Here is a 15,197-nt window from a genome sequence, read left to right as displayed (position 1 = left end):
TAAACAGGGTTATTTGACATGTTTATTTATGTAGCATTGCCAAAATAATGTTTAATTCTCTTCAGGTTATATTTTAGTGAATAATGTTAACATATGTTCCAGAATTGCAAGGGATTTCTAAAATTCTAATGTCTGAGTATGTGCTAGCAATCATAATTAAGGTTACTATGTTAAGTTATTGTCAACCACAGAAATAACCAAATTTCTTTGTCAATTGTGTTTTTGATCCTAACTACCCTGAGGACATTTTGTCATTCACAGACAATTGTTGTCTTGCTTTGATTCTTTTCAAAAGATGGTTTATAATCAGCTATAGGACTTTGACAGGTGGTCTGAAATACAGGTTTCTGATAACTTTGGAGATTGCAACATTGGAATAGAGGAAAACATACAGGACTCATGAAGAGCCAAAATGTTCATGAATATCAAGCAGAATAAGGGTTCACTGAATTGACTGAACTAACAGAAAACTGAAGTAATCTTTTTATAACTTTTTGCTTAAGACATTGCTGATCCTTGTTTTGTTTTTCAGAATCAAGGAAACTTTTATTTTGAGACATTTACAGCCTTTAATAATTGAGTAAATTATACTCCTGTGAACAAAATTTGAAGCATATTTGTTTCTCCCTGCCTGGTTTCTCTATAATTTGGAAACTATTTGTGAGTATTCTTAACTTACAGCAATATAGTAATTAATTTGCGTCAGTGCAATAAGAAACATTTTCTTTTGCAACAGGACACAATTGGAGAAACTAGTTGTTTCACCAAGGCTTTGACTGGAATGATGTGCTTTCCTTTAGGGAATCAAGCTTGACTTGCAGAGCCAATAAAACCCCCCTGGGAAAACTGGTCACATGCTTTCTCTACACTGTCCCTGTACAGGGTTCCTAACCTGTGTTGAGTAAAGAAGGTCACTTTCTAACAGGCACAGGAGTCCCATGTTATCTTGAGATCTCAAGAAGAGAGGAATTTACCCAACTCATAGGTATATGAGGGTATAAACCCATGGCTGGACTTGGCTTTAAAAGGTCTTATCTGAGCTTCCTTGTGGAACAGAGTTCCATCAAAGCCAAGTTTAAAAGCCTATGTGGGCCAGGCATGGTGGCTCACGCCTGTAATCCCAGCACTTTGGGAGGCTGAGGCAGGTGGATCACCTGAGATTAGGAGTTTGAGACCACCCTGGCCAACATGGTGAAACCCCATCTCTACTAAAAATACAAAAATTAGCTGGGCGTGGTGGCAGGCGCCTGTAATCCCAGATACTTGGGAGGCTGAGGCAGGAGAATCACTTGAACCCAGGAAGCGGAGGTTGCAGTGAGCCAAGATTGCGCCACTGCACTCCAGCCTGGTGACGGAGCGAGACTCTGCCTCAAAAAAAAAAATTTTTTTTTAAAAAAAAGCCTATGTGAAAAATAATTATTCTTGCTATACTTTATGCAAATAATCAATATAAGTATAGATAATAATCAGTATAAGAGACAAGTATAAGACTAAAGTTTATTTTGCAAACAACTCAGTCCTATCATGATTTGTCTTTAACAAAAATAAGGACTGGAGAAAGAAAAATTATGTTTCAAACTTATCATACACTTGCCATTAAATTCTAATCTCATTAGTTGTTTTTAAGTTTTTGCCCACATTTTAGACTAATCCTGCTTGTTCCTGTGAACCAACCAGTGATCTCCCACTGCAGCTCAGAAGAAAGAGAAGGGATGGGTAATGTAAAAATCTGGATCAATATTCTAATTCTGGGCAATTCTCCTGCAAATCCTGCCAGGTGATAGAAGTAAATGGGGTGCTCATAACCTGGAGGTTTCTTTGTTTGGGAAAATCAGAACAAGGGAGCTAACCAAAGCCAACATGCACCCAAATCTTAGCAGGCATAACTATGGCCACCAGCTATCTGAGTGTATTGGCAGCCCTGGGATTTTTGAGCTGTCCTTACCCCCTTGTTTCATTTGATACATGTCTTCTAATAAACCAAATTGTTTATTCTTGCCTAGAGGCCATCAAACTCCAAATGATCATGTAACCGGAGACAATTGCTTGGACAATTGCTCCCTTTTACTGGGGACCCTTAGACCTCTGAGGGAGATCTGACTGCCGTTTTCGCAAAACAGCACCCCCTGTCAGCAGGAAGCAGTTAAGATTGGTCTTCATCCGTATTCTTTTTTTTTTTTTTTTTTTGAGACAGAGTCTCGCTCTGTCGCCCAGGCTGGAGTGCAGTGGCTCGATCTCGGCTCACTGCAAGCTCCACCTCCCGGGTTCATGCCATTCTCCTGCCTCAGCCTCCCGAGTAGCTGGGACTACAGGCCCCCGCCACCAAGCCCGGCTTTTTTTTTGTATTTTTTAGTAGAGATGGGGTTTCACCGTGTTAGCCAGGATGGTCTTGTCCTGACCTTGTGATCTGCCCGCCTCAGCCTCCCGATGTGCTGGGATTACAGGTATGAGCCACCACGCCCGGCCTTGGACTTCATCCCTATTCTAATGGCGATGATATCTAATGGCCCCTCTTCAGAGGGGCGAAATGATAGTGACAGGAGGCAGCCAAATGCCTAGGCAAATTGGGGCAGGTCCCCAGTACAACCCCACCTCCAAGCCAAAGGCAGTTGAAAGCCTGGAAGCCAGGCTACAAGTTCAATCCTCCAACCGGATTGAGAACTTTTCTTCCCATTTGGTGTGCTTTCCTCTGATTGGTCCCCACTCTTCACCTATTTTACATATACCTACCCTTTCCTAATTGGTTTTTTACATTGTTATACCTACTTTAGAGTGGTGTCTTCACTTTAACCTTTTTTGCATACTCACAAACCAATCAGCATGCACTCCCCATTCTAAGTTCATAAAAGGCCCCAGACCCAGCCACACAGGGGACTTCCCACCTTCAGGTAGGGGAACCATCCCACTGTGTCCCCTCTCCACTGAGAGTTCTTGCTTAATAAATTCTACTCCACTCACTCTCTGGTGTCCGTGTGCCTAATTCTTCCTGGTTGTGAGGCAAGAACTCCGACTTAGCTGAGCTAAGGAGCAGGAAGACTGCTACACTTTCTTATTTAGACTTTTAGTATGGCAAATTAAATTGTTTTTTTTTTTTTTTGAGATGGCATTTCACGCTTGTTGCCCAGGCTGCAGTGCAATGGCACAATCTCAGCTCACTGCAACCTCCGCCTCCTGGTTCAATCGATTCTCCTGCCTCAGACTCCCAAGTAGTTGGCATTACAAGCATGCGCCATCACACCCAGCTAATTTTTTTGTATTTAGTAGAGATGGGGTTTCACCATGTTGGTCAGACTGATCTTGAATCCTGATCTCAGGTGATCCACCCACCCCGGCCTCCCAAAGTGCTGGGATTACAGGCATGAGCCACCACGCCTGGCCTAAATGGATTTTTTTAAAGAAAAAAATTACGTGTATAATTAAATTAATATATTTTATTTTGAGAGCAGTGTTAAGTTCACATCAAAATTGGGTAGAAAGTACAGAGAGTATACCTCCTCCTCCCCTGCCCAGCATCTCCCATATCAATGTCCCACACCAATGTAATATATTTATTTGTTACAATCGATGAACCAACAGTGACACATCATTATCAACCAAAGTTCATACTTTACATTAGTGTTTACAGCATTTTTTTTTTTTTTTGAGACAGGGTCTTGCTTTGTCACTCAGGCTGGAGTACAGTGGCACAATCTCAGCTCACTACAGCCTTGACCTCCTGGGCCAAAGCAACCCTCCCACCTCAGCCTCCTAAGTAGCTGGGACTGAGCACCATCACACTCGGCTAATATTTTAATTTTTTGGAGAGACAAGGTCTCACTAATATTGCTCAGGCTGGTTTTGTACTCATGGGCTCAAGCAATCCTCCTGCCTCAGTCCCCCAAAGTGCTGGAATTATAGGCATGAGCCACTGTGCCCAGCCAGAGTTTACTCTTTGTGTTGTATATTCTGTATTTTGACAAATGCATAATAAATGATATGTGTCCACCCTTACAGTATCACACAGAAGAGTTTCACTACCCTAAAGATCTTCTGTGTTCTACCTATTCATCCCTCCCTTCCCCAATTCCCTGGCAACTTACAATCTTTTTACTGCCTCCATAGTTTTGCTTTATTCAGAATGCCATAAAGTGGGAATCATACACTAGGCAGCCTTTTCAGATTTGCTTCTTTCACTTAATAATATACCTTTAATGTTGCTCTGTGTCTTTTTATAGCTTGATAGTTCATTTATTTTTAGTGCTGAATAATATCCCATTGTCTGGATGTACCACAGTTTATTTGTCCATTCATCTGCTGTAGGACATCTTGGTTGCTTCTAAATTTTGGCAATTATGAATAAAGCTGCTATAAACATCCATGTGCAGGTTTTGTGTGGACATAAGCTTTCAGCATATTTGGGTAAATACCAAGGGGTGATTTTGCTGGATTGTATGATAAGAATATGTTTAGTTTTGTAAGAAACCATCAAACTATTTTCCAAGTGGCTGTACCATTTCTTTTTTCTCCACTAACAATGAATAAGAGTTCTCATTGCTCCACATCCCCACCAGCATTAAATGTTGTCAATATTTTGGGTTTTTGCCATTATAATAGTGTGTATTGGTATCACATTGTTTAAATTTGCAATTCCCTGATGACATATGTTGAACATTTTTTCATATACTATTCGCCATCTTCTTTGGTCAAGTGTCTGTTTGGATCATTTTCCCATTTTTTAATCAGTTTGTTCATTTTGTTATTGTTTAATTTTAAGAGTTCCTCTTATATTTGAATAATACTCCTTTATCAGATAAGTCTTTTGCACATATTTTCTCCCAGTCTGTGGCTTGTCTTCTCATTCTCTTGGCAGCATCTTTTGCATAACAGAAGTTTTAAATTTTAATAAAATCCAACATCATTTTTTTCTTTTACTGGTTATGCCTTTGGTATTGTACCTAAAAAGTCATCATCAGGCCAGGCACAGTGGCTCATCCCTGTAATCCCAGTGCTTTGGGAGGCTAAGGCAGGAGGATCACTTAAGGCCAGGAGGAGTTCAAGACCAACCTGGACACCATAGTGATATTCCCGTTTCTACAAAAAACAAAAAAATTAGCTGGGGGTGATGGCATGCCTGTAGTCCCACCTACTTGGGAGGCTGAGGTGGGAGGATCACTTGAGCCCAGGAGTTTGAGGCTGCAGTGAGCCTAAACTGGACTGCAGCCTGGGCAACACAGTGAGGCATGTATCTCTAACAAAAATAAGTAAAATAAATGAAAATTTTAAAAGTAATCAGCAAACCGAAGGCCATCTAAATTTTCTCCTATGTTATCTACTAGGAGTTTTATAGCTTTGCATTTTACATTTATGTCTATAATCCATTTTGAGTTAATTTTTGTGAAGGATGTAAAGATTGTGGCTAGAAACATTTTTTTGCATGTGGATGTCCAGTTGTTCCAACACTATTTGTTGAAAAGCCCATTCTTTCTCCATTGAATTGCCCTTGCTCCTTTGTCAAAGATTATATTTCTGATTACATTTTTGTGAGTCTACTGATTTTTTTTTTTTGTAGAGATGGAGGTCTCACTATGTTGCCCAGGCTGGATTTGATCCTCCAGCTTCAACCTTCTGAGTAGCTGAGACTACAAACGTGCACCAACACCATGCCCAGCTGATTTTTGAATATTGAGCCAGCCTTGCATTTTTGTCATGGTGTGTTATTCTGTATATATGTTTGCACATATATATATATGTACTTTATATATTTGTGTTATATATATGTACTTTATATATTTGTGTTATATATATGTATTTATATATTTGTGTTATATATTATGTATTGCTGAATTGGACTCTCCAATATCTGTTGAGGATTTTTACATCTATATCCATGAGGGCTATTGATTTATAGTTTTCTTTCTTTGAACTATCTTTGTTTGGTTTTGTTATCAAGGTAATGATAGCCCCCTAAAATGAGTTAGACAATATTCTCTTCTTTTGTACTTTCTGAAGAGCTACTGCTTTTTGAAAAGCTCAAACCATACTGTAGCCAAACTAACTGTATACTCAAGGTAACATTACTCGTGCCTTTTTTAATCTACAAAATTATTCCATAGCAGATATTTTAATTATTGAATATTCTGCCTGTTAGGAATATAGGCACTTCCAACTACAAAATGAGATTTACCACTTCCCAAATTTGTGTCCTATTGGTTTTGTTGTTGTTGTTTATTAGATAATCTTGGGAGACACTAAAGAGTTCTTGGACTTTTGAAAATGACTTCTGTTATCTAGAATCCTAATTCTCTAGGATTTGGACTTACAAATAATTTGTAAAGGCCTAATAGATTTCAAAAACCACTTAATCTTCATATATGCTTCAGAAGAAGAAAAAATATCTGTATCACAGTAAAATCCAATGGCTCTTATTATAAGGAAAATCATGACTATTGTATGAAACAAGGATTTAAAGATTTCTATTATTTTTTAGAACCAGTGAGACAGCGAAAGCATTTTGTAAACAAAGGCATGGTAGTGTGAAATACTGCAGTGTATTGATGATCAGAAAATACTTCTATTTGCCCTGAAAATCAGATGTATGAAAGTGTAGCAGTAGAAAATAAAATCGGGCCAGGTGCAGTGGCTCACGCCTTTAATCCCAGCACTTTGGGAGGCCGAGGCAGGCGAATCATGACGTCAGGAGTTTGAGACCAGCCTGACCAACATGGTGAAACCCTGTCTCTACTAAAAATACAAAAAAATTAGCCAGGCATGGTGGCACACACCTGTAATCCCAGCTACTCAGGAGGCTAAGGCAGGAGAATTGCTTGAACCCAGGAGGTGGAGGTTGCAGTGGTGAGCCAAGATCGCGCCACTGCACTCCAGCCTGGGCAACACAGCGAGACTCCTTCTCAAAAAAAAAGAAAGAAAGAAAATATAATTGGAATGGCAGTTGGGGGTAATGGCCTTGAATGATAAGCCCCTAGACTTTATTTACTTTTAGGTTTTGAGCAGAAGAGATAAAATAAGAATAGTAGTGAGGAATCCATGCTCCAGAGCCAAACAGAGCTGGATTCCTAACCTGGTTCTGCCACTTAGGAGCAGTGTTTCCTTTTCAGGAGATTTGATTCCTCTAAAGTTTTTTTTCTAATCTACAGAATGGAGCTAATGATAGTATCTATTTTAAAATGGCTGTTGTGAAGGTTAAATATGATAATGTATGTAGAGCCTGGTGCCTGAAATATAGCAAACACTCAATAAATATTAGTGACTACCTGATTAGAGCTGTGCTTCAGAAATATTAGTCTGACAGCAGTATGTAAGGTGATAAAAGCAAATGGCTTTCCTTCTTGAAACAGAACCAGAGCCTTCCAAGGTCGGCACCAAGAATATTTCAGAAAGCAGAATCTCTAGGTGGGATGATATGTCTCTAAAATTGGATTAACAAGATTTAGAGGCTACTCTGACTGAAGGTGAAGGAAGAGGAAGTCGTCATTGCATTATTGTTTTCTGTATTACGATGTTCCAGTATACTGTGCTATTTTTAAGCACTGAAATTCAGGTATTTTTGTTGGTGTTATACCATTATTTTACACACTGGTCAGCAAATTTATTTACTCTTCTTCATTCTCTCTTCAAACCCTCCTTCCTTCTGCCCAATCCCTACCCCCATCACTGACATCCTCACCACAAGCCCTCCCACTCCCTTTTTACCACCCAGTCTCAGTAACTCCGTACCGCTTCCATCCTCTGCTACACTTATTTTTTCTTTTTTTTCTTAGGAAAAAGGCTGGGCCAGGCACAGTGGCTCACACCTGTAATCCCTCCCAGCACTTTGGAAGGCCAAGGTGAATCTCTTCAGGCCAGGAGTTCAAGACCAGCCTGGCCAACATGGCAAAAACCACATCTCCACTAAAACTACAAACTAGGCACTTTAGCCTAGGTGACAGTCTCAAAAACAAACAACCAAAACAAACAAAAAAAATTGAAAAAAATTAAGACGGAAACGTTAATAATATAATTTTGCTTCAGTATAGTAACTACTCACTGAAAGAGAAATCAAAAATGGTTTTATCGGCCAGGTGCAGTGGTTCATGCCTGTAATCCTAGCACTTTGAGAGGCCAAGGCGGGTGGACTGCCTGAGGTCAGGAGTTCGAGACCAGCCTGGCTAACATGGTGAAACCCCATCTCTTCTAAAAATACAAAAATTAGCCAGGTGTGGTGGCACATGCCTGTAGTCCCAGCTACTCGGGAGGCTGAAGCAGGAGAATCGCTTGAACCTGAGAGGCGGAGGTTGCAGTGAGCCGAGATCATGCCAGTGCACTCCAGCCTGGGTGACAAAGTGAGATTCCACCTCAAAAAAAAAAAAAAAGGTTTTATGTGTGAAAGAACATTGAAGGCAGTTATAAAAATAAAGAATGTCATTAGGATCATCAAACATTTTCCTGTATTGTAAGATATTGAACTATAAGATATGATATAATAATTAGGGTCCCAAACTGTTTAATGAAACAGAAAGAAAGATTTTGTAGTTTTATTTTGCCTTCTTTTGGTGTCAGCACCAGATACCAAAATACTGTATTTTATTTCATTAAGTGTTCAGGATTTATAACACTTAAAAAATCACTGCTCAGGAGGCTGAGGTAGGAGAATCGCTTAAGCCCAGGAAGTCAAGGCTGCTGTGAGCTGTGATGAAGACACTGCATTACAACCTGGGCAACAGACAGAGACTGGCTCAAAAAAAAAAAAAAAAAGTGAAATTGCTGCTTATTTACATGCCTTCAAGCAAAATCCTTCTTGTTATTACTTCTAATCTAATCTGCTCGAGCCAGAAAACCAGATGAATTCGTTAAAATTCTTTCAGTACATACACCCAACTCAAAAATGTTTAAACTATAAATGTTATTTATTACCTCCTGTAACTGAAAAGTCCAATAATTTTTTAGTCATGACTGGTTCCAGGGGCTCAAAGTATAACATCAGAATTGAGTTTGCTCTTTCTCGCTCTCTCTCTCTCTGCTCAGTTGTCTCTGTTTCTCTCTCTCTCTTTTTTTTTTTCTTTTAGACAGAGTCTTGCTCTGTCACCCAGGCTAGAGTGCAGTGGCACAATCTCGGCTCACTGCAACCTTCACCTCCCAGATTCAAGTGATTAGAGTGCCCCAGTGTCCTGAGTAGCTAAGATTACAGGCGCACGCCACCATGCCTGGCTAATTTTTGAATTTTTAGTAGAGATGGGGTTTCACCATCTCGGCCAGGCTGGTCTCGAACTCCTGACCTCATGATCCACCTGCCTCGGCTTCCCAAAGTGCTGGGATTACAGGTGTAAGCCACTGTGCCACGATTTTTTTTTTTTTTTTGAGACAGAGTCTCACTCTGGTCACCCAGACTGGAGTGGAGTGACAGGCGATCGTGGCTAACTGCAGCATCGACCTGGGCTCAGGTGATCCTCCCACCTCAGCCTCCCTAGGACCACAGGTATGAGCCACCACATCTGGCTAATTTTTGTATTGTTTGTATAGAGACAGGGTTTTTCCATGTTTCTCAGGCTGGTCTCGAACTCCTGGGCTCAAGCAGTCTACCTGCCTCGGCCTCCCAAAGTGCTGGGATTATAGGCATGAGCCACCTCGCCCAGCCGAATCTATTTCTATCTTTCTGCTCTTCTTTCCTCTACATTGGCATAATTTTCCAGCAGGATCTTCCCTCAGGGTATCCCATATGGATCTGGGCTTACATCTTAACAATCTAGCAACCCCATCAGAGTTGCAGGCAAAGTTCTGGGTAGGGCTCGCAATAGCCCAAATTGGGCCACTTGCCCATTTCAGCATCAATTACTGTGGACAAGGGACTGACTGGATCTTGGTCATGTACAATTCCTCAACCTTATGGGTGGTATCAGCCCTACAAAACCCACAAAACCGAAAGTGAGAGAGCTAGTTTACCCAGAGGAAAATCAAAATAGTATTACCCAAAAAAAAGAATTGTGAACAACATAGGTTCACTACACCAGATAACTTAATCTGTTAGAACTATATCTAGAATCATAGCAAATTGGCTCTAAATGAAGATCTGAGAATGTTTCCCATTAATAAAGTCCAGGAGCTTTGGTGTATAAGCTTTGTGATATCTACTTTGGTAGTTCCAAGTGGTCTTGCAGAGCTGAGGGCAAAGAAATGTTCTTTTGCAGAATCGTCTTACTCTGTCAACCTTTTTTTTTTTTTATCAGAATCACCTTACTCTGTCAACCTAACTTATTTCTTAGGGTTTATTCTCTGAATAATTAAATTGGACATAAATTACATCTAGAGAAGGTGAGTTTTTAACATAATCTGGCAAGCAGTATTTCTATTTTACTGAATTGCACTAACAAATCCCTAGGTTGCAAAGAGAATCTCACAGAATACTTAAACCAACTAGAGTTCAGATAGAAAACTCTTTAAGTGCAGAATTAAGAACTAAAGGGATTTGGAGGTGCTTTCCAAAATGCAGTTAATATTTTAAATGAAGAGTCAATTAAATAAATATCAATTTAACACTGTAGTGGACATGACTAATTGTATCCCCAATATTCATTTCCCCATTTTCCTAACAACAGTACCCAGATTTTGCTTAAGGCAAGCCATTTTTGGCAAAATGATTTGGGTAAGACTGACCTTACTTCTGGTTTTAGGGATAGGCTCTAGATGGCTTATGGCAATAGTCCTGGGCATGGTAGTTTGTTCAGGGATGGTCACATGACCCAATTTAGGCCAATCATACTCAATTATCGGACATCTGTTTGAGTCATCAAGATCCTCTCTCTCCCTCTCTTCTCAACTGGATGTAAATCCACAAGCACATAGCCTCAGAAACTACTGGCAGCCATCCTGCACTGGAGAGAGTTTGCTGAGAATGAAGCCAATCTCAAGGAAGCAGAACAGAAAACCTGATACAGAAAAACCAGGTCCTGGTAATGCTATATGAGCTGCTATATCAAGCCATGCCCTGAAGTCTTATACTTTGGATTTTTCAGTAATGTGCACCAATAAATTCCGTTTAGTTTTTAAAGTCAGTTTGAATAGGATTTTCTCTTACCTTTTATTCAGAACCAATTACAACTGCAATACAATTCTGATGCTAACCACCTGGAGTTAGTGTCAGACTTCACAGGTTTTTTTAAGGTCACAGACCCCAGAAAGACTGGCTTTATTTCAGATGCCAGCCACAGTTCAGGGATCCCAAACTTCTGACCAACTGACTAAAATTTCAGAGGTTCCCACAATGCCCTCAGGTTCAATAATTCCCAAAAATGATTCACAGAACTCAGGAAAGTGCTATACTTGTGATTATAGTTTTATTATGAAGTATACAAAACAGAGCCAGTCAAATGAGACACATAAAGCAAAATCTGGGAAGCTTCTGATTTCAGATTATCCTTCCCCTTTCCCCTACAGTGACAGGATGCGTCACTTTCCAGTACCCTGATGTGTTCACCTACCAGGAAGCTCCTCTGAGCCTTGGTGTTCAGAGTTTTTACAGGGATTTCCTTACGTAGGAATGAATGATTGAATCAGTAGCCATGTAATTGAGCTCAGTCTCCAGATATGTCAGAGGTATTTCCTCAAGCTCTCCCTGTTTATCCCCTCTGCTCCTGCATTGGCTCAATCCCTCACCACCTCTCACTTGAATGCAGTATAGCCTGTTATTTCTCACTCTTATCTGCACCAGGTTCCCGCTGCTTTGGCCTCACTCTACCAGATTTCCTGCCTTGAATAAGACCCAGGGGACTGGCTTGGTCTGGAACAGCACAGACAGAATTTCTTTGAATCTATTTAACCTGCAACATCCAAAGATACTCTTGAAGATCCTCATTATCTAAACAGAAAATATACTTAAGGGGGAAATTTAGGTTGTCTATCCCCATTGCTCCTTCTACCTCTTGGAAAATCTTTCTGTCTTTTAGAGGTTTGTGTCATCTATCTATTCATCTTTTCTCCCTTCCTAGTGCAATTATCTTCCAAATTGTTGGTCATTTTCCCTCATTCTCTGAAGACCTGCAAGCACCTCACTCACAGCCTTCCTGTACCCTCAACTTCTACCATTTTCCTGGGCAACTTCAAGGTCCCTGTGCCCTCTGAGTTTCATGTTCTCATTACCTCTAATCCAATGAATTTATATTCAATTCCCCATAAGCCTGCCCTCTTCTCTTTTCATGCTACAATTGCTCTAGGTTCTCTCATTGACTCTTAAGGTTTTACATAAAACCTGTATGCTCATGACTCCCAATTATTTTTCCAGTCCAGACCTCTCTTCTGAAATCTACACCCCTATATTCAACTGTGTTATTCCTCTACATGCCTCACACCCAGGCGTCTCAAACTTAACCTCTCAAAACTTAATTGTTTCTCTTTTGACCCTTACTCTGACAAATCTGCATCTCAGTAAATGATTCCACCAGCCATTCAGTTGTGCAAATCTATCTCCTTCACCCCCTCACTTTGTTACTAAGCCCTATTCATTCTACTTCCAAGATATATTTTGAATCTATTTACTTCTCACCATCCCCAATGCTACCACTCTAATTCAACCCACGATCACCCTTTGCCTGGACTATTGAAATAGTGTCTATCTCGTCTCTGTATTCATTCTTGTATCCTTTCAATCCATTATTTACATAGCCATCCTGACTTTTTAATGCAAATCTTATTTTGTCATTCTTCTACTTAAAATCTTTCAGAGGGTTCCCATTTCTCTTGGGATAATGTTCAAGATCCTTAGCATGGCCAAGGCCTTGCATGATCTAGTTCCCATAGTCTTTCTAGTTTGCTCTCCTGTTACTCTGCCCCTTATTCACCGGTCTCCAGTCACACTCGCTTCCTCTCTTTCCTAAAGATGAAGCAAGTTCCTTCATGCTTTAGAGTGTTCATACATAAAGTTCCTTCTACTTTGAACACTTCCTGTGCCTTACTCCCATCTCCATCTGTCCCTGACTCTGTGACAGGAGCTGTGCCCTAAATAAGACACAATTTTCTCCCTTTAAGAAGCTCACAGTGTCACATGAATGGGACATTCATGTAAGTATTAAAAAAAATCAAGCACAGTATAATAAATGCAATAGAAGCATGGCCAGAGGAGGTAATATTTATCTTTGTGAGAGTCAGGAAAGGACATTTAAGAGAAAAGAACCAGCATGTTCCAAGGACAGAGGCAAGAAACACATGAGATATAAGCATTTTGGACTGCTAGAGAGGAAAGGCAAGGAGGTAGCAGAATAAGTGGCTAGAAATTGCCTTGGATGCTGTGTTAAGGGACTGACTTTATCCAATATGCAAAGAGGGTATCCCTTACAAAGGGTTTTAGGTAGGGGAGAGGCATGAACAGATATCAACTATAGTGCTATCAGATTTGTAGTAGTGTGGGAGAATGGCCTGGATAGAAGAAAACAAAGGTACAAAATCAAGTAGAAGAATACTGTAATAGTCCAAGCAAGTGATGATGGCAACTGAATTAAGACAGAGGTAGTAGGAATGGAAAGAAGATGAACTGAAGATTTTTTAAAAATTTATTTTATTTTTTTGTAGAGACAGGGTCTATGTTGCCCAGGCTGGTCTCAAACTCCTGGGCTCAAGTGATCCTCCACCTCAGCCTCCCAAAGTGTTGGGATTATACAATGCTCAGCTAGAAGATATTTTAAAGAGGTAGAATAGATAGGACTTGGTGACTGAACAAAATGGATAAATTCCTTGCCTTTATGGAAATTACATTCTAATATGGGAGGCAGATAATATTCAATAAACAGATGTGTACATGATATAACTCCTGTAGGGTTATAAGCTAGGGAAAAAATAGAGTAGACTAAAAGCACAGCAAATCAAAGAGTTATTTTAGATAGGGTGGTCCCCCTGAGGAGGTAACATTTGAACAGAGACCTGAATGGTGTGAGGAAATGGGCCATAAGCATATTTGTGGAACGAGTATTTCTAAAGTAAACAAGTATAAAGGTCCAGAGGCAGCAATGTGCTTGGCATATGTTTGAGAAACAACAATGAAGCTAGTATGGCTGAAGTACAAAAAAAGGAAGGGGAGAGTGGAAGGACATAAGGTCAGAATGTAGCAAGAGGCCAGATCATTAGGGCCTTGCAGACTGTAGAAAGAATTTTAGATTTTATTTTAAGTGTGACATGAATCACTGGAGAGTTCTGAACAGGGGAGTGGCATATCCTAACTTACACTGTAAAAGGATCATTCAGAATATAGTTGGGGGAGAGTGGAAGTAGGATAGCCAGTTAGGAGGAAGGGATCTAGGTGAGAGATGATAGTGGTTTGGATGAGAGTAACAGTGATCAAGGTGGTAAGAACTAGTCAATCAGATTTGGAATATATTTTGAAGGTAGGATGATGGATGTGCTAGTGGATCAAAGAGCGTATTAGAAACAGAGGAGTCCATGATGATTTCTGGCCTGAGCAACAGGGCGAATGGTAGAACTATTTACTGATATGGAGAAGGCTGAAGGTTTGGGCAGCAAGGAATCAAAGACTTGGTTTGGACACATTTAGTTTGGAATACTGTTAGACATCCAAGTGGAGTAGCCAGTGGAGATATGAGTCTGGAGTTCAGGGGAGAGGTTGCAGATATACATGTTTTGGAATCACTAACATATAGATGATATTTAAAATGACAGAGTTGGTTAAGATTTTCTAAGAAATGAGTATAAGAAAAAAATTAGTAGAAGTCTGGGGATGGAACACTAGAATCCCCAATAATTAAAGGTTGAGAAAAGAAAGAGGATCCAATGAAGAGACAGAGGAGTGGCCACTGAAGTGAGAAGAAAATCAGTATAGGGTGGAGGCCAGGGAAGGACAGTCCTTCAAGAAAGAGAAAATGATCAACTAGTCAGATGCTGCCATTTAGTCAAGTAGGTTAAGAACTGAATTAGGCAACATGAAGGTTATTGGTGACCTTGATAAGCACAGTCTCAAAAAAGTAATGGGGATAAAAACCTCACTTTTAACAAAGAAACAAAGAAAGTGAGAAGTTTCACTACACAAAGAGGAGCCGAGAAATGGTGTAGTAGCTGGAGAGACACATGCAATCAAGAGAAGGATTTTTTTTAAGGGAGGGAATTTGGTGACGCAGGAGATGGCATAGTGTGAGGGCAAAATTCTTGCGTAGGTGAGTTCTGTAGGTATTTGGACATTTGGGCCTGGAGCTCAATAGAGAGGTAGAGGCTGGAAACACAGATTT

General features: G+C 40.2%; 2 annotated features.

Moving 5' to 3' along the window:
• Nucleotides 441-641: a silencer, noted in NCBI's record as "peak356 fragment used in MPRA reporter construct". NCBI's record gives its function as "represses an SCP1 promoter by STARR-seq MPRAs in K562 erythroleukemia cells {active_cell/tissue: K562}" and the evidence as "EXISTENCE:reporter gene assay evidence [ECO:0000049][PMID:32103011]".
• Nucleotides 8,761-8,961: a silencer, noted in NCBI's record as "peak355 fragment used in MPRA reporter construct". NCBI's record gives its function as "represses an SCP1 promoter by STARR-seq MPRAs in K562 erythroleukemia cells {active_cell/tissue: K562}" and the evidence as "EXISTENCE:reporter gene assay evidence [ECO:0000049][PMID:32103011]".

Source organism: Homo sapiens, chromosome 1 (assembly GCF_000001405.40).
Source record: "Homo sapiens chromosome 1, GRCh38.p14 Primary Assembly".
Taxonomy (NCBI): Eukaryota; Metazoa; Chordata; class Mammalia; order Primates; family Hominidae; genus Homo; species Homo sapiens.
This window is presented reverse-complemented; position numbering and strand designations above follow the sequence as displayed.